The sequence below is a fragment of the Homo sapiens genome, chromosome 8 (genome assembly GCF_000001405.40).
Source record: "Homo sapiens chromosome 8, GRCh38.p14 Primary Assembly".
NCBI classification, from domain to species: domain Eukaryota; kingdom Metazoa; phylum Chordata; class Mammalia; order Primates; family Hominidae; genus Homo; species Homo sapiens.
Window position 1 is genome coordinate 72859874 of NC_000008.11, and position 23491 is coordinate 72883364.

General features: G+C 41.4%; 1 protein-coding gene and 1 long non-coding RNA gene across 2 annotated transcripts in view, besides 3 other annotated features; one reads left to right on the forward strand and one right to left on the reverse strand.

The window, feature by feature from the left end:
• Positions 1 to 23491, forward strand: part of KCNB2 (potassium voltage-gated channel subfamily B member 2) — a 401125-nt gene that overhangs the window by 322649 nt on the left and 54985 nt on the right. The gene's annotated exons all lie outside the window — the stretch shown is intronic.
• On the reverse strand, positions 11418 to 21925 carry KCNB2-AS1 (KCNB2 antisense RNA 1). The gene is made up of 3 exons (NR_199040.1): positions 21826 to 21925; positions 21622 to 21722; positions 11418 to 15330 (listed from the first exon to the last, which is right to left on the reverse strand). It is a non-coding gene; the product is annotated as a KCNB2 antisense RNA 1 (long non-coding RNA).
• Positions 20805 to 21396: an enhancer, noted in NCBI's record as "OCT4-NANOG-H3K27ac-H3K4me1 hESC enhancer chr8:73792913-73793504 (GRCh37/hg19 assembly coordinates)". NCBI's record gives its function as "activates a minimal SCP1, AML or CMV promoter by ChIP-STARR-seq in primed H9 embryonic stem cells {active_cell/tissue: H9 hESC(primed)}" and the evidence as "EXISTENCE:reporter gene assay evidence [ECO:0000049][PMID:30033119]".
• Positions 21397 to 21987: an enhancer, noted in NCBI's record as "OCT4-NANOG-H3K27ac-H3K4me1 hESC enhancer chr8:73793505-73794095 (GRCh37/hg19 assembly coordinates)". NCBI's record gives its function as "activates a minimal SCP1, AML or CMV promoter by ChIP-STARR-seq in primed H9 embryonic stem cells {active_cell/tissue: H9 hESC(primed)}" and the evidence as "EXISTENCE:reporter gene assay evidence [ECO:0000049][PMID:30033119]".
• Positions 22123 to 23322: an enhancer, noted in NCBI's record as "CDK7 strongly-dependent group 2 enhancer chr8:73794231-73795430 (GRCh37/hg19 assembly coordinates)". NCBI's record gives its function as "activates an origin of replication core promoter dependent on BRD2, BRD4, P300/CBP, MED14 and CDK7 cofactors, with strong dependence on CDK7, by STARR-seq in HCT116 cells {active_cell/tissue: HCT116}" and the evidence as "EXISTENCE:reporter gene assay evidence [ECO:0000049][PMID:35650434]".

Sequence of the window (23491 nt, forward strand, 5' to 3'; positions counted from 1 at the left end):
TATGCCTGGCTAATTTTGTATTTTTAGTAGAGTCAGGGTTTCTCCATGTTCGTCAGCCTGGTCTCAAACTCCCGACCTCAGGTGATCCACCCGCCTTGGCCTCCCAAAGTGCTAGGATTACAGGTGTGAGCCACTGTGCCCGGCCTTCATTTCTTTTTATTGCAAGCAATATGCCATTGCATAGATATAGGATATTTTATTTATTTATTCATTAGCTGATGGGCATTTATGTTGATTCCATCTTTTGGCTATTAAGGATACTGAGGTCAACATTTACGTACAAGTTTTTGTCTGGACATATGTTTTCATTTTCCTTCAGTATACGAGGTAGAATTGTTAGGTCATATGGCACCTTCTGTTTCACCTTTTGAGGAACCATCAGACTTTTTTCCAATGAGGCTCCATCATTTTACATTCCTACCAGTAAGTAGTATATGAAGAGTCTCAATTTCTCCACATTCCCATCAACACTTGTTATCTTTTTGTTTCTTGTCATCCTAGTAGATGTGAAATGGTATCTTATTGTGGTTTTGATTTGCATTTCTCTAATGGCTAACAATGTTGGGCATCTTTTAATGTGCTTACTAGTCATTTGTATTAAAGCCTGTTTAAAAGAAAGTTTCTCTGCTGACTTTTAAAAGTAACACCAGTTGAATACCAGGTAATGGGCAGAGTCCTTCAAATAAACCATTGGCTTTTTGGCCTTTCCTGTTTCTGCTCACATCTATAAAGCTGCAGCTCCATTTGAATGGAGAAGGAGCATCTCATAGCAAGCAGGCCCTTTACTACTATCTGAGGAAATGCACTTAAAAGAAGTCATTTCTACCCCTAGCATAAGGAAATCAAGAGGCAAAATGCATTCCACTGTCCTTTTTTCAAACTATATTTAAATGGTCACAAGAACAGATGAGTATCCCTTCAGATATTTCTCAAATGCATGATGCATCTTCTTGAAGGATGAACCAAAAAGACTTTTGAAGGAAAAGTTTCCAATTTACACAGAAAATATTTACAAGTTGTTTTTAATGTGTGTGTATACTGTATTATAAACCACTTCATATCAAGAGCTGTGTCATCTCTTTAATACCACTAAAGTTCTTTACAAAATATAAAGCATACTGTAGCTTCTCACAAATTAGTACATTACTAACTGAATTATCTGGCTTAGAAGAATCCACACCTTAAGCCTCAGTAAGCTAGGAGGACACCGGAAGTTTCTTTTCTGTGTACATTCATTTATATGTTCTCAAGATAGTAAGATCCATAATGAGAGTGATTTTTCTTGCTTTTCAGCTTAAGTGTCTGAACAAAGTCCATTTATAAATGTTGAGCTCCTACACATTTGCTAATGTCCCCAATGGAAAGAAATCAAAATGATCAAATTTGCAAATTGTGATTTTTCTGTGTATTTCCAACCTCAAAACCATTATGTCATTTGTTATAATGCAATTTTGGCAAAAATAAGAATTTGATCATATCCACACAATTTAAAAGCCAAGGAATGCTGTCTAGTTCCTCTTACCTGACAGTCTTTCAGAGGTAATTACAGCACCATTTCCCGAGGCTGGTCTTGAGAGATAAAAGCTCACGAAAGAAGCCTGATGGTTCAAGGGTGGGCAGCAGCACCTGCTGTAAAGTACAGGCAGAAGCAAACTCCTGAGACTCAGCTGTTGAGTACCAAGGCTTCCTTTGTGCAGCAGAATGTAGGAGGAGGCCCGAGCTGGTTTTGGCATTGACCCTTCCTGGTGGGCCGCTCACCCAGCCTGCCTGCAGCAGGACTGGAATAAACGTTCCCTGCCAAAAGGAAATTCTCAATCGGCCTGCCTGACCAGAAAAACAAAGCAAATGAAAGACTAATTCAAAAAAGTTCATTGATCTTGTTAAAATTAATGATGGGCTTAAAGTTTACTTACTGTTAATTATGGTGGCCTCCTAATGTCCCATGAATCCTCTGTAAAATAGGGATAGTTTACGTCTCCTGTGGCCAAAGACTTTCTTTATCAGAGTTGTTACCAAGGCCAGGTGCAGTGGCGCACACCTGTAATCTCAACACTCTTGGAGGCCAAGGCAGGCAGATTACTTGAGGTCAGGAGTTCAGGAGCAGCCTGGCCAACATGGTGAAACTCCATCTGTACTAAAAATGTAAAAATTAGCTAGGCATAGTGGTGCACAACTGTAGTCCCAGCTACTCTGGAGGGTGAGACATGAGAATTGCGCCACTGCACTCCAGGCTGATGGACAGAGCAAGACTGTCTCAAAAAATCAAACAAAAAGAGTTGTTACCAACTTAAGAAATATTTGGTTGCATCTTCATTTCATTGAGAAACACTAGCAATTTGAAACTCAAAGAAACTTGTAAAAAAAATGGCCACCATTTTTAATTTTTGCAAGTCTAGAGACAAGGCAAATTTAATCTTTTTAATTAGTTAAACAAATAATTAGTTTTCAGATATAAATACAGATGTAAAGAGAAGTAAAAGTCATGAACGCACTAGTATTTTTGCCAGCTGTGGCTATTAGTTAAAAGTGGCCACTAACTGTATAGTCCATTCCTTTCTACAATTTTTTTTTACACAAAACCTAAGAATTACAAAATTTTTAGTAGTTACTAAACATGAAGTTTTTCAAGATATTTATATTAAAGAGATTTTATGGTTTCTAAGATCACTTTTATTGAGAATCTTTTCCTTTTGTAAATCTAGGTCATTGGATTTAACACTAAAATTATAAAGGACAGGAGTTTCCAGTTTCCTCACCTATGAAAAGGGGGATTCAATAATAGCTGGCACTCAGTAAATGAAGCTGTTATTTTTACTGTTACTATCATTACTCAGGTCTCCACTCTTGTTCATGTTCCAGTTTGTGGGCCCATATTGTATTTCTGTGGGACTTTCATTTTTACTTCTCAATCCGAAGGCTGTCTAGGTAGAAACACTAATGAGCCCTTATTATGTGCTAGGAGTGGTTCTGGCAGCTTTACAGGTAACTGTGGTATCTTCATAGAGACTCACAAAGGTCAGCATACACTCTTCACTTTATCTATGAGAAAACTAAAGTTCGGAGACATTAAGCCACCCAACCAAAGTTACAAAGATGGTTAAATTAAAAACCTGTGATACAAATTCAGACTTTTCTGATTTCAAAGCCCATGTTTTTTGCCCTATTCCAAGTATTCTTTTTAATTACAATATAATGTTAAGAAGTACAGTTTCATTCTCTCAAAAAACCATACAATAACTCAAAATAATCCAATTCAGTTCTGCCTAGTAGGGAAGATCTGATTTAATTAATAAATTCTAATGGTTTAGAAGCAGCATGTCATTTGTTTCTATGTAAACAGCACTCCTACAGGGCTTGTCAGAGCTGAAAACAATTTGTCCTGTAAGTATTTTAAACATTCCCTCTGCAATCTGGTTTGCACTATTAATTTTACACTATTAAGAAAGCATTTACCAAGCAAAAATAAGCCAACACAGCTTGAGCCTATCAAAATGATAATAAATTTTGAATTCGTGGAATTTTTATTAGGTTTTTGTATATTTTAGTGGATTTCAGAATTCACACCAGATTATTATGCAAAAACCCAGGTCAACTAAAAAATCCTTTAAAGGAAAAGAAAAAAACAGGTATATATTTGTATCAGCATCCCTATCAGCAGTGCTGTTTGAGCTGTCTTCCCACCTGGGCCTTCACCATTGTGTCATCATTAGTGGTCAGTGATCTAAGAGTTGGTGTCTGTACATACACAGGACATTCCTTTACAGGCCTCCAGCCTCTGAGACAGTAACAGAGCCCCCATGGCAGCCCGCCAACTTGTGAAAATGTGACAAGGTATGTAAAAAGGCCATAGCCACTGCTGGACATGGTGGCTTATGCCTATAATTCCAGCAACTTAGGAGGCCAAGGCAGGCAGATGGCTTGAGCCATGGAGTTCAGGACCAGCCTGGGCAACATGGCGAAACCTCGTCTCTACAAAAAAAAATAGCCAGGTGTGGTGGCATGTGCCTATGGTCCCAGCTACTTGAGAGGCTGAGGTGGGAGGATCACTTGAGCCCAGGAGGCAGAGGTTGCAGTAAACCAAGATGGCATCACTGCACTTCAGCCTGAGTGACAGAGAAACTGTCTCCAAAGAAAAAGAGGGGAGGTGGGGGAATAGTCGCTTTTTGCACACTTACCCACGTGACAGAGGAGGGAAAAACCACTGATTTCTCAAACCAAACTCCAGACTGCCTCACAATTGCCTCAGTTGTCTCAACTGATTCCCTAATCCTGATTCAAACCAATTGTACTTCCTGGATAGAATGACTGTGTGGTGGCCAAGGCAAAGGATCAGAGCTTAAAGGACACAAAAGTCATTAAATGAGTAATAAACATCAGGTTGAAGAGTCCAGTGCCCCCAGTGTCCACCCAGAAGACAATGGTGGCCCTTTCATGCTCCCTATCAAGGAAAATATCCACTAAATAGATCTATGAAAATGCAAAATTGTTTCATTCTAAAGTCTATCTTTTATGTCTTTAAGGTGGGTCATTTATTCTAAAGCTATTCTCTTTTATCCTGGTTCTTTGAAACAAAAACCAAAGCAAAAAACCTGTGAGTTCCCTTAGTAGACACACTTCTGCCTGTGGTAGAGGAGGTATAAATAATTTATTGCATTTCCATTAAGGTCAACCTACAGTGTACATGTGTCAGAGGAGTATGAGCTCTGAGCTAATGATTAAGGATCAAGATAGGTGAGGTTTCTGATGCATTCTGTGAATACCGATGTGTGCTGACATGTAATTTGCCAATAGAGATATGGAAAGTAGCAGAAAGACGAAGGTGACTGTAATAGGATTCTACAGACAGCATGTTATATAGAGTGCATTCCAGCACTTTCTCCTCTTTCCTTGCACGGCTTGATTAGCCATCTGATGTTTCTTCAAGAGCATTTGTGAAGGAATAGGAATTGCTGCCGGCCAGGCTCTATTAGAGCCCTGGTTAATTAAATCTCTCAGAAGGGATTCTGTTTGGTTTAATGAAGTGGGTGCGAGAAGGAATCAGAACCAGCATTAGATACTTATATGTTTGTCCTGCTGACACCTAACAGGTTTCATCTTCTCCCCCAACCTCCTGCTGGGCCTCATTCACCTCCCACCTGTCTCACCTGTGTCTCTCTCATCTGCCTGTGGCCACTCTCCTGGGAGAGGCCTTTGGTCTCTTCCCAGAATTATTGCAACAGGCTCCTGGCTGACCTCTGAGGATTATTCTGGGCCTTTCCCTTTACTTCATCCTGCTGTTGGCTGAGTTGTAGCCATAAATTAAGCATGCCTGGCCTCTGCTCAGAAACGCCTGAGGGTCCCTTGCCACTCCTGTTTTCATTCCCCATCGCTTACTATTGTCCTTTGCTTGGCCCCCAAAGGCTTGGGATTCTATTCCCTCCACCAGGACCAGATACCCCTCTGCTAACTATAGAAATACTCTGCCCCAAAGCATCTAGTGCCCAGGCCTATGCCTCAGTTTCCTGTCTGCCCCATCTTATTGTTCTTTTCCGTTCTTTCTCTCTCTGAAAAAAGTCCCCTGGAACTCCAAGGACATATTTTGTTTGGCCGATTTCATGAGAAAATGTATTTTGAATACATATAGCACAGTACTTGACACTCACTAAATAATTAACAATGGTGATGATAATCATTATAAAATCACTTAGAATAGTCCCATAACAATTGCTTAATATTAGTCTTCACCCCTCCTTCGTTGCTTACATAAGAGCCATTCGCAGAACTCCGAAATTATAAAAGCTTTACTTCTTAAAAGCTTTTGACTTTCAGAGTTGCCAACACACTAAACTCTTTCATGCCTTCTGTATTCTTGTCTTCCTGCTCTTCAACTCACTGCCTCTTACTTATCCTTCTGGTCTCTTCTGAATGTCACCTCCTCAGCAAAACATCCCCTGACCATCCTAAGGAAACACCCTGACCCCCATCCACTCTAACTTCACTTTGTCCCTTTCCTTTTGGTGTTCAGTGCTACTTGTAATCATCTATGTGTTTGCAGTAATCTGTTTGTGTGATACCATCTGTCTCTCACCCTATACTATGAGGTCCACAAAGGCAGAGGCCGTGATGTATCCCAGCTCCTGGCACAAGACCTGCCCCATTGTGGTCACTCCATAAATATTTGTTGAATTAATGACCCATTTCAACTCTTTGCACATTGTCATTCAGATGTTGGAAATGAGGACCACAAAGAGCTATCAGTAATGGAAAAGGCCAACAAAAACATCTGAGTATGCTGAGCATTCTGACTTTGGAGAAAAACTGTTCTCATTGTGAAACTTCTGCTGTGTTACTCCTGGAACACACTCGCATTGCTCTTCCCAATGTGTGTGTGACTTGACAAGCCATCCTTCCCAGTTCCACTCAATACTGAGAGCATTCTACTGGAAAACAGAAACATTATCTGCTTCAAACATTGGTGATATCTGAATTCAGTAAAGTGCCCATAGGGACAGTCAATGGAGCAAGCTGAGAAAATAGGAAACTGTCCTTTAAGTGTGTTTGCACAGATTTATTTCGACCTCAGCTTCAATTACCCAACTTAAGTTTCTACTGAACACCTTTGCCTAACAGGTACAAGATAGGCACACACAGGATCCCAAAATTATCAAGTTTTCCACTCCAAAAGTACTTGATTTTGAGAGTTAAGCTTAAAATTCTTGTTATTGCAGTTGCTCTGTTTGAACACATTTCAGAACAATCCTTTTGGGAATACACGTTTGTCAAGGTAACATTCTTGAACCTCTCAGGACCCACTTGCAGGAGCATTCAGAGAAGTGGGTGTGCTTCCTACAAGCAACCCAACAACTGCTATGGGCACCTCTCATTTTACTATTTTTTAAAAGAAAATCAAAATTCTCATCTCATTTATTTTAATGCTTTAGCACAGGAAGGTAGGTATTTTTTTTAAGTTAGGGACTCCCAATTAAATTAATCACAGGCTTTGAAATTAATTCAGGTGGAAGTGTCAGCCTCTCCAGGGAGGTATCCCAGAACCCCCAGTGTGTGCCTGTGGCCCTTTTCTGTGCTCTCACAGCATCCTACACATCTCAGTATTGCACACTGTCCCAAAGGACTTGCCCCCTTGAGGACAGGGACTATGTCTTTCAGCTCTGAGTCCCAAGGAATTTCTAAATCCCAAACTATATCTTGCACTTTGCCTGGCATATAGTAGGAGTTTAATAAATAATGATAAATGAATAATTAGCCAATGACTTGGAGATATGGGTCAACTGTCCATCCCTTTATAACCTTCTTAATTTTCCTGTATTTTAGACAGTATCTACACAAGTAACACCTAATTAATATGTCACCAAATACCATATTGTGAAGCATATGGCTTGATATGAGAAATCAGGTAGCTCCAGATGTGAATATTTACTCATTTATAAAAAAAGTTGTTACCTATATTGTACAATAAGTACCGTGTTGAGCATGTCTTAAAACAGTGGGCCAGAGGCCGGGAGTGGTGGCTCACGCCTATAAGCCCTGCACTTTGGGAGCAGAGGCGGGTGGATTGCTTAAGCCCAGGAGTTCAAAGCCAGCCTGGACAACAAAGGGAGACCCTTTCTCCACCAAAAACAAAACAAAACAAAGCAGTGGGCCAGAGATTACCTTGTTGATAATAAACAATGGCTCTTGTTTAAATTTAGTCAAATGAGTGTGTGATCTATAGACCTATGTAAAAAGTAGTCCACAATGACACAAGCTACATTTGTCATGAATATAACTAGTGAGTTGAGACATTTTTTGCTCCTGCTTGTTGAGGTTTCGAGAAGGCATGCCCAACAAATCCACTCACACTTCAGGTTAGTTATTAGCACATACTAGACATGGTATGACCTGAACCATTCATCCAGTGACAGCAGCCCTATTTCAAAATCTTTTTTTCTTTTATGTCAGATGAAGATGACATCACTACTATCACTTTCTAGACTAGGGCGGTGGAGCAATGGCCACTCGCTGTAGATAGATTCCAACATTATTTGGCTGTTATCTTCTTTCTGCGTTTTACCTCATAAGGATGACATGAGGATTCACAGGAAAAATTGTATCCAGTTCTTTGAAATGATTGGTAAACATGGCAGATACTCATTTCATTGGCCAATGAAATAATAGTCTACAAGCCAGTGGAGGTTGATTTTGGGTTTTTTTTTTTATTATTTATTTTTTTTTTTTTAGAGACAGGGTCTCACTCCATTGCGCAGGCTAGAGTTCAATGGTGCAATCATAGCTCACTGTAGCCTCAGACTCCTGGGCTCAAGGAATCCGCCTGCCTCAGCCTCCCAAAGTGCTTGATTACAGACATAAGCCACTGCACCCAGCCTATTCTTGCTCTTTAATCATCACACATTCATGCTTTCCAATTCTAATAAGGACCCCGTTACTGGCCGGGCGCAGTGGCTCACACCTGTAATCCCAGCACTTTGGGAGGCTGAGGCAGGCGGATCACGAGGTCAAGAGATCAAGACCATCCTGACCAACATGGTGAAACCCCGTCTCTACTAAAAATACAAAAATTAGCCAGGCGTGGTGGCACACACCTGTAGTCCCAGCTACTCGGGAGGCTGAGACAGGAGAATCGCTTGAACCAGGGAAGTAGAGGTTGCAGTGAGCCGAGATAATGCCACTGCACTCCAGCCTGGCAACAAAGCAAGACACTGTCTCAAAAACAAAACAAACAAAAAAAACCCCAAAACAAACCAAAAAAAACCCAAAAAAGGACCCCATTATTAAAAGCAACTCCAAAGTTTAATTGTCTACTTTAAGTGAACATTTTTATAATGCTACCTTAGTTGCCTGAGTTATAGCTTAGGCAGCAAGACATAAAATGTGTTGTTCTAAATTGATTTGTTCATAAAAGTAGAAATACTCAAAATAGAGAAAAATGGCTGAGTATCAGAAGGGCACGTGTGGGCCATAGGTGCACATCTTTGTCCATGAAAGGCTCTAACCAGGACCTCTCCATATCCCAATATCACCACCACCCATCACAAAGCAAATGACCCTTCAACAGGAAAGTCTCTTCCTTTTTTCCACCAAAGTCCTCATTTATCAAAATCAGAACTAGGCAGATGACTATAAATTGGGGGCAAGGTAGGGGATAGTTGTTGGTAAGAGAAATTGGTGCCAGACCCCAAGAAGATGACCACTCCATACAAAGCCAGCACCAGTTCTTTCACTAACATAAAGAGGAAACGCATCTAGCTCAGGAAGCTGCACAGAGATAAGAACTGGGGTATGGTTGAGTTACCTGCCTTGAGCTTGATGACAGCAACAGGTTTAAGTGGCCTTGAGAGGCAGAGAAAAGTAGATGAGTGCATCCAGACCAGATAGAGGGGTTTGAAGGGAGAAGCAAACACAAGGAAAACTAAACTCACAGACCCTCCTCAAGGGTTTAGATACATTAGGAAGGGGACAAGGGAATAAAGCTGCATATTTACTTTCATGGGCCTCAGGCACTTTTGCTTTTGTGGGATCCTTCCTTTATTAAAACCATATTAAAAGAATAGGAGAAAATATTTGCAAGGCATATACCTGATAAAGGATTAATATCCAAAATATGTAAGGAACTCCTACAACTCAATAGCAAAAAATAAAATAAAATAACCCAATTTAAAAACGGACAAAAGAATTAAACAGACAGTTCTCCAAAGAAGACACACAAATGGCCAACAGGTATATTAAAGATGCTCAACATCACTAATCATCAGGGAAATGCAAATCAAAACCACAATGAAATATCGCTTCACACCTAACAGATTGGCTGTTATCAAAAAGACAAGTGTTGGCAAGGATGTGGAGGAATTGTAATCCTTGTACACTATTGGTTGAAATGTAAATGAGTATAGCCACTATAGAAAATAGTGTGGAAGTTCCTCAAAAAACTGAAAGTAGAACTACCATCTGATCAGGCAACCCCACTTCTGAGTTGATATCCAAAAGAATTAAAATCAGGATTTCAAGGTGGTATCTGCACCCCCCTATTCACTGCGGTATTATTCACAATAGCCAAGGCATGGAAACCACCTAAATGTCCAGCAGCAGATGAATGTATAAAGAAAACATGCTATATACATACAATGGAATATTACCAGCCTTAAAAAAGGAAATCTTACCATATGCAACAACCATATGGATGAACCCGGAGAGCATTATGCTAACTGAGATAAGCCAGTCACAGAAGGACAAATACTGAATGATTCCATTTATATGAAGTTCCTAGAGTAGTCACATTCATAGAGCCAGAAAGTAGAATGCTGGTTGCCAGGGGCTAGAGGGGAGAGAAATGGGGGGTTGCTGTTCAATGAGCATAAAGTTTCAGTTACATAAGATGAATAAGTTCTAGAGATCTGTGTACAACGTGGTGCCTATACTTAACAATACTGTATTGTGCACTTATTTTGTTAAGAGGGTAGATCTCAAGTGTTCTTACTGCAGTAAAAATACATTTTAAAAAAACATATTAAAATTGTATAATTGCATTGAGAAAAATATGAATATAATTCAGGCTGGATTCATTACTGTATATTACTTGTATCATAGTCATTTTTCTTCTAATTCTAACTGAACTTGAGTTCAATAATGCAGAACTGGAACATTCCTCATGTTATGTTCTCATCTGAAAGGAAACAGTGTGTCCCATAATGGGAAACAGTATAGGGTAAGGGTTCAAATGTCACTTTTTTCCACCTATGTATGAGCTTAAGCAAATTAATATATGTGAGTTTTGGCTTCCCCATAAGTTGTAATTTTGAGGATTTAAGTGAGGTAATGTATACAAAATACTTTGCCTACTGCCTGTGACAAAGCACTACAAAAATGGTGGCTCTTAATAAGGATAGCAATTTTGTGACATATAGAAAAACTACCAGCCTGGACAACATAGCAAAACTCCATCTCTATAAAAATACAAAAATTTGCCAGGTGTGGTGCCATGCACCTGTGGTCCCAGCTACTCAGGAGGCTGAGGTGAGAGGATCACTTGAGCCTGGAAGGCAGAGGTTGCAGTGAGCCAAGATCACGCCACTGCACTCCAGCCTGAGTGACAGAGTAAGACCTTTTCTCAAGGGGGAAAATAGAGAAAAGAAAAGAAAGAAAAATTATTGAAGTGGAGTCAAAATAGATGGCTTCTAGTTCTGTTCCCCCCACCAACGTACTAGCTATGTGACCTTGAGCCAGACAATTAAATTTTCTGAATCTTAGTTTCATCATCTGTAATAATATCCACCTGCCAACCTCACAGGATTGCTGAAAGGAATGAAATAACAGATGTAGAAACACATGTATTATAACTGAAAGTATCATACAACAGGAATTATTACCAAAGAAATTGAAAAATTTTGTAGAGAAGGGAAGTATATAGTGTCTGGCACACAAAAGCTATTCAGTAGATGTTTATTGAATGAATTAACAAATGAATGCATACCTCACAAAGTTCCCAACACTCAAAATACCAAAATCTTGATTGGTATACTTCATTGTGAAAAGCATTATAAAGACATCCCTAGAAAATAATATCAAATTTCATGAGAAGGAGATCACAACTAATAATCCATAAATATAACTTTTGCCAGCATTTAAGTGTCTTAGATTGCAGGCTTCTGCAAGATACACATTACTTGTAGTTTTGTATCCCCAGCATTTCCCATCCCAGTGTTGACATGCAATAGGCACCCAGCAGGTACTTACAAATTGAACTTATCCAATAACCCTTGCTCTTGTAACCAATCTTACAATAATATCTCTTCATAATGAATCATTCTTAATTCTCTTATTTCCTCCAAACTCTCCCTTGTTCTCTGTGTCAGTAAAACTCTGAAATTAAAAAGGGCTTTCAAGGTATATGATTTAAATGGATAAATTGCCAACTGCACTTCTATTTTAAATTTACGTTGTTACCTTTACAGCTAAAAAGTGCTTGAGAAAACATACTTTGTATTATAGGAGATCCAGTAGAATAGTTTCAACTCATATGGTATCTTACCCAAATCAAACTTCAGAAATTCACTAGTGATTCTTGCTAGTATGAATGGCTTCCATCATGCAAGTCCATTACACCTTGGAGCATAATCATGACCAAATCTAGGAGTTTCTCACTGATGGGACCAGTTCTTCATGCTCTTTTCTCAGCCTTAGAGAGTGGCCCTTCCATGTCCAAGAACAATGTGCTCAAATGTGAAATCTTAAGCAGCTTGTCAGTTTCACACAGCCTGTTGAATCCTTGAAGTAGTGACCATTTGCTTGTTAAAATAGAGAGTGACTTTGGAGAATAAGCATGTGGTGCATTTTATGGAAATTGCTCCATTTGGCAGCATCTGAGTATAAATTGGCATCTCAGCAGTGCAGCTGTGATTGTAATTGACTAAAGTTCTCAGCAGAAAGAGCTCTGACCATCTTTCTCAGGCAAATAGCTCTGTCAGAAAAGCTTCATCCCCAACATTTCCCAGTCAGCCTTTCAAAGTTAAATCTCATAAACCGGCTTTCTTTGATGTGGTCTTCTGCAGTTTTCTCCCTTCCCCATCACTTCTAATGTGGTGGTGGTTTGTGCATTGCAAGAGTCCCTGGATAGTTGTTTGGTTGTTAATCAGCTTTAGTTCTGGGAAGAAACTTCCCCCAGAAGGAAGCTTGTAGATTTCTCTTACAAGTTGAAGAGGTTTCTGTGACTCTAATTTCTGTCCTAAAAATCACCAGTGAATTGTCACGAGTGGTACATAACAGTTAATGAGAGCAAGATATTCTACACGGAAGAGAGAACAGTTTTTCAAAACAGAAATGCACCTTTCTATAAACGAAGAGCATGGAGTTAGAAACATGGTCTCCATTCTTTGTCTAAGCTGCTCTCATTAGGATAAAGAGTACAGCCATCAAGAAGAAAAGTAAGTTCTAGAACAAGTCTAAAATATCCTGAGGGGTTAGCTTATCTGCCTAGCACAACTTTTACATTTCTCTGTGTGGGCCAGCTCTGTCCTACTATCCTGAATCTCCTCAAAGAACGGTGTCTCCCCCAAATAAAGACTGTGTCGGAATATTCCTCGTTGAATTCCCAGTGCCTCTCCATGGCTGGCACAGAGAAGGAACTCAGTAGATGTTTATTGATGAGGTGAATCACCTAGACTCCACTGTGTGCACCGATGCAGCAGCACCCATGCTTAGCACAGTACAAAGTCAGGTTCTTCTCCCAGACTCCCAGCCACTTCCTTGTCCCATCATGGCACAACTGAGCATCTCAGTGGTGACTTTTTGTCTTCAAATCCCTCATTCATTAAAATCCAAACTTGAGAGTAAGCCAGAATGGCCAGCCTCCACTGTAGTCATTTCCTCTTGTGCCGCAGAGAGGAGACCACATGTCACATGGATTAAGGCTGCTTCATTGGTGAACGGCAAGGCAGTACACAAATGCAAGTCCCCACCCTTTCACTGTTTAGCAGGGCCAACAGAAAGGACAGAGTCTGAGAGTCAACATGACTTTGAAACCTGGCTCAGACACAAGCCATGTGGCCTTTGACTTTAAAAACAGCAATAGAAAACCTCTTTAAGTTTGGGATTTTTCATAATTAGAATAGTGAAAGCAGTGTTCCTTACCCCACTGGGGTGGGATTTGGTGATGTACATGAAAGTGCCTGGTGCAAAGTAGCTTCTCAATGAATGTCATTTGCTATCCATAAGGGCCTCTGGCGGGGCCAAGCTGACCAACAGGTGAACAAGAACCCATACTATAGTTGTTGAGAGTGTGGCAAGAGAGTAAGACATACATAATCTGGTCTTCTGTATTTGTGTGACAGCACTGGGGACAAAGAGAATGACACAGACCCATGGTCCTACACAATGTAGTGGGCATGCCTGTCCTGAAGAGTCTTTCCATTGAGAACAAAGGGTAATTCACATCTTCTGCTATAAGTCGCCTTGCAGTTCCACTGGGATTGGGTGACTCGCAGCAAGCAGCAGCATCCACCTATTAGCCCATTTACCTTTAGGTGAACAGAGCTCCTCCTATGGACTTCAACTTCTCCCTTGTATGTAGAAATAGCATGTCCTGAAACTCATTTTCTGATAGCAGATAGAGTGTCATTTACAGTTTTGACATGATTTGGCATTCCATGAAATATAAGCAGTATTTTCCTTACTTCTGAAAGAAATATCAGTAGGCAACTGTGGACTTACATTCTCCTGCTAGTTCAGATCTTCAATTTAAAATGAATTGGGATTATTTGCTCTCGTATCAGTTGGAGACTATTCTTTTACTTTAACTCATTTTTCTTAATTTGAGTAAGACATCATTCTAATTTTTTAAAAAATCTTTACCATTACCAAAATTATTTTGGAAAAATCTTAGCTGTAACTTTGTCCTAGGGACTGATCCGAATTAGTTGGAGATATTCTAAAAATTTTGAAGACATTGTACACTGAGGGCTGCCGGCTTTATTTTACTCCAGCCATGATGAACACTGACGAGCCAGCACCTCTATCAGGGTGTATGAGAGAGGTGGTGAGTGGGATTCACCAGCTGCAGCATCTGGACAGTCAGTGAGTCTGCTTTCCCCCTAAGTCTGTATCTAAGGCCTTCTGCAATAAAGCTAAGTGACAAGCAGGGCAAGCTTTGGAAATGCATCACAGCCCCTGCCCTTCGGTAACTAACCAGCCAAAGCCTGGACAGGTGGACACAGACACCTCTAGGAAAGGAGTTGTTCAAAGGCAGAGCAGCAAAATAACTGGCTGAGCCAATGAAATGTTTACATTGCAGCCGAGGCTCCTGCTCAGCTGCCGGAACCAAACAACATCTGTTGCAGTCCTACAAGGCCCAAAGGCCCTCATCACCTTTGTGTCAGGAGCAGGAGGAGGGCTGGCCTAACTGTGACACCATCTGTGTGCCAGGGACTCGGGCCAAAAGGCCTGGCACTTGAGAGCTTAATTTCACTCCATCCAGTCTGCGACAAGGAAAAATCTTGGAGCAGACTAATAGCATCCTCACCCTCTCTTTCAATTACCTAGTCTGCTACAACCTCAAAACAAATACAACTGATAATTTGTTGCTTTCAAGAGTCCACAGAGCTTCTTTCCACTAACACCCTCTGATGGCAGGCTCACCTCCTCCAGCCTCAGCTGCTGCTCTGGAATCCTGGAGAATATTTGTCAGGGGAGCTGAAGAACCAGAGCTGCTGTTCTCAGAACAATGACTGCTAGCCCTGTGATCTTTTTTCACAAAGAAACACACACCCCCAGCCTCCTCCTGGGCCTTTGCTGGTAGCGGAGGCTTCCTCCCAAGGACGTAGGCTTGGATGATGGATGATTATCCTGGGTGAGAAGAGAACAGACACACCCTCAGAACAAAAAGAGGGAACCTGCATCTTCTCCTTCTCACCCTCCTCTACTGTTATCCTGAACCCTCCCTTGCTCCTGCAGGTGCTGTCCATGAGCCAGCAACATCAGAACCACCTGGGAGCCATAGCAGCCTGGCAGCCCGCTCCACAAACACAGGATCAGAATCTACCTTTTAACAAGATCCCCCAGGTGATTCAGATGCATATTCAACCTTTAGAAGCCCTGGTCCAAGTCTTATATTAATGATCAGATGTATGATCATTTTATATTAACACCAAGTGGAAGGAAATCTCTGCTCATTGCAAATCTTTTTTTTTTTTTTTTTTTTTTTTTTTTTTTTATTATACTCTAAGTTTTAGGGTACATGTGCACATTGTGCAGGTTAGTTACATATGTATACATGTGCCATGCTGGTGCGCTGCACCCACTAATGTGTCATCTAGCATTAGTATATCTCCCAATGCTATCCCTCCCCCCTCCCCCGACCCCACCACAGTCCCCAGAGTGTGATATTCCCCTTCCTGTGTCCATGTGATCTCATTGTTCAATTCCCACCTATGAGTGAGAATATGCGGTGTTTGGTTTTTTGTTCTTGCGATAGTTTACTGAGAATGATGGTTTCCAATTTCATCCATGTCCCTACAAAGGATATGAACTCATCATTTTTTATGGCTGCATAGTATTCCATGGTGTATATGTGCCACATTTTCTTAATCCAGTCTATCATTGTTGGACATTTGGGTTGGTTCCAAGTCTTTGCTATTGTGAATAGTGCCGCAATAAACATACGTGTGCATGTGTCTTTATAGCAGCATGATTTATACTCATTTGGGTATATACCCAGTAATGGGATGGCTGGGTCAAATGGTATTTCTAGTTCTAGATCCCTGAGGAATCGCCACACTGACTTCCACAATGGTTGAACTAGTTTACAGTCCCACCAACAGTGTAAAAGTGTTCCTATTTCTCCGCATCCTCTCCAGCACCTGTTGTTTCCTGACTTTTTAATGATTGCCATTCTAACTGGTGTGAGATGATATCTCATAGTGGTTTTGATTTGCATTTCTCTGATGGCCAGTGATGATGAGCATTTCTTCATGTGTTTTTTGGCTGCATAAATGTCTTCTTTTGAGAAGTGTCTGTTCATGTCCTTCGCCCACTTTTTGATGGGGTTGTTTGTTTTTTTCTTGTAAATTTGTTTGAGTTCATTGTAGATTCTGGATATTAGCCCTTTGTCAGATGAGTAGGTTGCGAAAATTTTCTCCCATGTTGTAGGTTGCCTGTTCACTCTGATGGTAGTTTCTTTTGCTGTGCAGAAGCTCTTTAGTTTAATTAGATCCCATTTGTCAATTTTGTCTTTTGTTGCCATTGCTTTTGGTGTTTTGGACATGAAGTCCTTGCCCACGCCTATGTCCTGAATGGTAATGCCTAGGTTTTCTTCTAGGGTTTTTATGGTTTTAGGTTTAACGTTTAAATCTTTAATCCATCTTGAATTGATTTTTGTATAAGGTGTAAGGAAGGGATCCAGTTTCAGCTTTCTACATATGGCTAGCCAGTTTTCCCAGCACCATTTATTAAATAGGGAATCCTTTCCCCATTGCTTGTTTTTCTCAGGTTTGTCAAAGATCAGATAGTTGTAGATATGCGGCATTATTTCTGAGGGCTCTGTTCTGTTCCATTGATCTATGTCTCTGTTTTGGTACCAGTACCATGCTGTTTTGGTTACTGTAGCCTTGTAGTATAGTTTGAAGTCAGGTAGTGTGATGCCTCCAGCTTTGTTCTTTTGGCTTAGGATTGACTTGGCAATGCGGGCTCTTTTTTGGTTCCATATGAACTTTAAAGTAGTTTTTTCCAATTCTGTGAAGAAAGTCATTGGTAGCTTGATGGGGATGGCATTGAATCTGTAAATTACCTTGGGCAGTATGGCCATTTTCACGATATTGATTCTTCCTACCCATGAGCATGGAATGTTCTTCCATTTGTTTGTGTCCTCTTTTATTTCCTTGAGCAGTGGTTTGTAGTTCTCCTTGAAGAGGTCCTTCACATCCCTTGTAAGTTGGATTCCTAGGTATTTTATTCTCTTTGAAGCAATTACGAATGGGAGTTCACCCATGATTTGGCTCTCTGTTTGTCTGTTGTTGGTGTATAAGAATGCTTGTGATTTTTGTACATTGATTTTGTATCCTGAGACTTTGCTGAAGTTGCTTATCAGCTTAAGGAGATTTTGGGCTGAGACGATGGGGTTTTCTAGATATACAATCATGTCGTCTGCAAACAGGGACAATTTGACTTCCTCTTTTCCTAATTGAATACCCTTTATTTCCTTCTCCTGCCTGATTGCCCTGGCCAGAACTTCCAACACTATGTTGAATAGGAGCGGTGAGAGAGGGCATCCCTGTCTTGTGCCGGTTTTCAAAGGGAATGCTTCCAGTTTTTGCCCATTCAGTATGATATTGGCTGTGGGTTTGTCATAGATAGCTCTTATTATTTTGAAATACGTCCCATCAATACCTAATTTATTGAGAGTTTTTAGCATGAAGGGTTGTTGAATTTTGTCAAAGGCTTTTTCTGCATCTATTGAGATAATCATGTGGTTTTTGTCTTTGGCTCTGTTTATATGCTGGATTACATTTATTGATTTGCGTATATTGAACCAGCCTTGCATCCCAGGGATGAAGCCCACTTGATCATGGTGGATAAGCTTTTTGATGTGCTGCTGGATTCGGTTTGCCAGTATTTTATTGAGGATTTTTGCATCAATGTTCATCAAGGATATTGGTCTAAAATTCTCTTTTTTGGTTGTGTCTCTGCCCGGCTTTGGTATCAGAATGATGCTGGCCTCATAAAATGAGTTAGGGAGGATTCCCTCTTTTTCTATTGATTGGAATAGTTTCAGAAGGAATGGTACCAGTTCCTCCATGTACCTCTGGTAGAATTCGGCTGTGAATCCATCTGGTCCTGGACTCTTTTTGGTTGGTAAACTATTGATTATTGCCACAATTTCAGAGCCTGTTATTGGTCTATTCAGAGATTCAACTTCTTCCTGGTTTAGTCTTGGGAGAGTGTATGTGTCGAGGAATGTATCCATTTCTTCTAGATTTTCTAGTTTATTTGCGTAGAGGTGTTTGTAGTATTCTCTGATGGTAGTTTGTATTTCTGTGGGATCGGTGGTGATATCCCCTTTATCATTTTTTATTGTGTCTATTTGATTCTTCTCTCTTTTTTTCTTTATTAGTCTTGCTAGCGGTCTATCAATTTTGTTGATCCTTTCAAAAAACCAGCTCCTGGATTCATTGATTTTTTGAAGGGTTTTTTGTGTCTCTATTTCCTTCAGTTCTGCTCTGATTTTAGTTATTTCTTGCCTTCTGCTAGCTTTTGAATGTGTTTGCTCTTGCTTTTCTAGTTCTTTTAATTGTGATGTTAGGGTGTCAATTTTGGATCTTTCCTGCTTTCTCTTGTAGGCATTTAGTGCTATAAATTTCCCTCTACACACTGCTTTGAATGCGTCCCAGAGATTCTGGTATGTGGTGTCTTTGTTCTCGTTGGTTTCAAAGAACATCTTTATTTCTGCCTTCATTTCGTTATGTACCCAGTAGTCATTCAGGAGCAGGTTGTTCAGTTTCCATGTAGTTGAGCGGCTTTGAGTGAGATTCTTAATCCTGAGTTCTAGTTTGATTGCACTGTGGTCTGAGAGATAGTTTGTTATAATTTCTGTTCTTTTACATTTGCTGAGGAGAGCTTTACTTCCAACTATGTGGTCAATTTTGGAATAGGTGTGGTGTGGTGCTGAAAAAAAGGTATATTCTGTTGATTTGGGGTGGAGAGTTCTGTAGATGTCTATTAGGTCTGCTTGGTGCAGAGCTGAGTTCAATTCCTGGGTATCCTTGTTGACTTTCTGTCTCGTTGATCTGTCTAATGTTGACAGTGGGGTGTTAAAGTCTCCCATTATTAATGTGTGGGAGTCTAAGTCTCTTTGTAGGTCACTGAGGACTTGCTTTATGAATCTGGGTGCTCCTGTATTGGGTGCATAAATATTTAGGATAGTTAGCTCCTCTTGTTGAATTGATCCCTTTACCATTATGTAATGGCCTTCTTTGTCTCTTTTGATCTTTGTTGGTTTAAAGTCTGTTTTATCAGAGACTAGGATTGCAACCCCTGCCTTTTTTTGTTTTCCATTGGCTTGGTAGATCTTCCTCCATCCTTTTATTTTGAGCCTATGTGTGTCTCTGCACGTGAGATGGGTTTCCTGAATACAGCACACTGATGGGTCTTGACTCTTTATCCAACTTGCCAGTCTGTGTCTTTTAATTGCAGAATTTAGTCCATTTATATTTAAAGTTAATATTGTTATGTGTGAATTTGATCCTGTCATTATGATGTTAGCTGGTGATTTTGCTCATTAGTTGATGCAGTTTCTTCCTAGTCTCGATGGTCTTTACATTTTGGCATGATTTTGCAGCGGCTGGTACCGGTTGTTCCTTTCCATGTTTAGCGCTTCCTTCAGGAGCTCTTTTAGGGCAGGCCTGGTGGTGACAAAATCTCTCAACATTTGCTTGTCTATAAAGTATTTTATTTCTCCTTCACTTATGAAGCTTAGTTTGGCTGGATATGAAATTCTGGGTTGAAAATTCTTTTCTTTAAGAATGTTGAATATTGGCCCCCACTCTCTTCTGGCTTGTAGGGTTTCTGCCGAGAGATCCACTGTTAGTCTGATGGGCTTTCCTTTGAGGGTAACCCGACCTTTCTCTCTGGCTGCCCTTAACATTTTTTCCTTCATTTCAACTTTGGTGAATCTGACAATTATGTGTCTTGGAGTTGCTCTTCTCGAGGAGTATCTTTGTGGCGTTCTCTGTATTTCCTGAATCTGAACGTTGGCCTGCCTTGCTAGATTGGGGAAGTTCTCCTGGATAATATCCTGCAGAGTGTTTTCCAACTTGGTTCCATTCTCCACATCACTTTCAGGTACACCAATCAGACGTAGATTTGGTCTTTTCACATAGTCCCATATTTCTTGGAGGCTTTGCTCATTTCTTTTTATTCTTTTTTCTCTAAACTTCCCTTCTCGCTTCATTTCATTCATTTCATCTTCCATTGCTGATACCCTTTCTTCCAGTTGATCGCATCGGCTCCTGAGGCTTCTGCATTCTTCACGTAGTTCTCGAGCCTTGGTTTTCAGCTCCATCAGCTCCTTTAAGCACTTCTCTGTATTGGTTATTCTAGTTATACATTCTTCTAAATTTTTTTCAAAGTTTTCAACTTCTTTGCCTTTGGTTTGAATGTCCTCCCGTAGCTCAGAGTAATTTGATCGTCTGAAGCCTTCTTCTCTCAGCTCGTCAAAATCATTCTCCATCCAGCTTTGTTCTGTTGCTGGTGAGGAACTGCGTTCCTTTGGAGGAGGAGAGGCGCTCTGCGTTTTAGAGTTTCCAGTTTTTCTGTTCTGTTTTTTCCCCATCTTTGTGGTTTTATCTACTTTTGGTCTTTGATGATGGTGATGTACAGATGGGTTTTCGGTGTAGATGTCCTTTCTGGTTGTTAGTTTTCCTTCTAACAGACAGGACCCTCAGCTGCAGGTCTGTTGGAATACCCTGCCGTGTGAGGTGTCAGTGTGCCCCTGCTGGGGGGTGCCTCCCAGTTAGGCTGCTCGGGGGTCAGGAGTCAGGGACCCACTTGAGGAGGCAGTCTGTCTGCCCGTTCTCAGATCTCCAGCTGCGTGCTGGGAGAACCACTGCTCTCTTCAAAGCTGTCAGACAGGGACACTTAAGTCTGCAGAGGTTACTGCTGTCTTTTTGTTTGTCTGTGCCCTGCCCCCAGAGGTGGAGCCTACAGAGGCAGGCAGGCCTCCTTGAGCTGTGGTGGGCTCCACCCAGTTCAAGCTTCCCGGCTGCTTTGTTTACCTAAGCAAGCCTGGGCAATGGCGGGCGCCCCTCCCCCAGCCTCGTTGCCGCCTTGCAGTTTGATCTCAGACTGCTGTGCTAGCAATCAGCGAGATTCCGTGGGCGTAGGACCCTCCGAGCCAGGTGTGGGATATAGTCTCGTGGTGCGCCGTTTCTTAAGCCGGTCTGAAAAGCGCAATATTCGGGTGGGAGTGACCCGATTTTCCAGGTGCGACCGTCACCCCTTTCTTTGACTCAGAAAGGGAACTCCCTGACCCCTTGCGCTTCCCAGGTGAGGCAATGCCTCGCCCTGCTTCGGCTCGCGCACGGTGCGCACACACACTGGCCTGCGCCCACTGTCTGGCACTCCCTAGTGAGATGAACCCGGTACCTCAGATGGAAATGCAGAAATCACCGTCTTCTGCGTCGCTCACGCTGGGAGCTGTAGACCGGAGCTGTTCCTATTCGGCCATCTTGGCTCCTCCTGCAAATCTTAAAAGATAAAGGAATTAAGGCACTCAAACATCTGTAGACAGAAAAGTACTATCAGAAGTTAGATGTTAATATTGGCAATCTTTTCTAAAGGTCTGGCTACCTCTGCCCTGCCTCTAGCTCAGAGAGGGAAGAAGAGAAAAAATGTTGTACAGGCACAATCTGTGAAGCAGCAGCACCCAGACAATGCAGAGGGCGTGTTTCCTCTCCCTGGCTGTCCCTTCAAGCAGGGGGAGGTCCTAGCCGTAGCATCCACCTTCTGCTGCGGCCAGAAAAGAGCCAGTGAAAACCACTCAGAACTTCCCTGTCACTGAAAGGCCATTAAATTTTTACAAGATGAAAAGTACTTTTTCCAAAAATAAAACCCAGCGTTATCATTTTGGTAGGCTGGGAAAATGTACAGTTCCTTTTTATAACTGCAAATAAGAGCAGTTCTGTACCAATTCTAATTTTTTTCTTCTGATTCTGCAATCTTCTCTCCTTAGCAGGAAAAAAAAAAATGTACTGAAGTGATCAGGTGTTATTTAGACCCTCAGGGCACACCTGTGCCCGACAAAGCACTCATCAGATTCCTGAGATACCACCAGCACCTCCACACGGGGGTGGTTTTTCGGGTGAAACAGTGCAGTGTTGTGACTCATGGGCCGCCTATACCACTCTGGCCCTTGGTTTCCCCATCTGCAGTAAGCTGTTATAAAGGAACTGGAAAAACTCACCTGCCTTCAGGGGCTACCCTTGGAATGCAAGTAAGTGAGGAAGTGGGAGGAGACTGTGAAGAAAAGGGAGAGTGTACATTGAGGTCACAGTTCATCACGCGGTGAGTGCCATGGCTCTTTCCAGCTCATTCAGTGGTCCCGTTTGGATTTCACAAAGCTGACATGTCAGGTCTGTGCTTTATTTTTGACCATGCCAACTGCTGACAGTTGAGAGAGAGAGAGAGAGAGAGAGAGAGAGAGAGAGAATGTGTGTCTTCATTACGGCTCTGCACTTGAAGTTCCTAGCAACTGGGCCAGTAGTGAGACCCAGTCGGTCGTGGGATTCCAGCAGCTGGTGCTTTCTCTGCCAGAGAAACAAGATGATGGTCTGCTAGCAGAAATCCTCAAGGAGCTCTAGAAATAGAATGAATAGGAAAAAGAAAAAGAAAAAAAAAATCCAGGAGAGGCTTGCTTCATGTTGCTCTTGTTGTTGTTTTGTGCTACATATTATTTTAAGATATGTTCAAATTACTTGAAGCATTTAAAAATCAGGAGATTTCACATTTTTAAAAAGAATTCAAATTTCTGGCTCCCTCTGAATTGGAAAATCTGATGACACAGCCTCATTTCCATGTGCCCACAATCAGCTAAAGTTGTGGCCACTTCCCTCTTTATCTGCCTTCTCCAGGCCCTTTCCACTTCCCCTCCATTCCCGGGGCTACACCTGCCCATGTCTGGATCCTGATTATTTACCCTCCTGGTCCCAGAAGTCATTTACGTTCTCAACGCTTTTACAATATGATGCGAAGCCAGGTTCCCAGTCTCTGCAAGGCCAGATGGTTGAGAACATGGCTGGGGGAGGGTCCACTTCACTAGGTTTACAAAGCACAAAAATGTTTCTTTATCTCAGAACATCAGATTTTAAAAATAGGAAAGCCCTGAAAAGAAGATGAAACAACTATGTGGTGAAACTTAGAGGCAGTTATTTAATAGTGTGCCAGCCACCAACAAGCATCTTATCCCGGCGTAACTACAGTCTCTGCAGAGGTTCCTGCTGTCCTCAGTTATCCACTG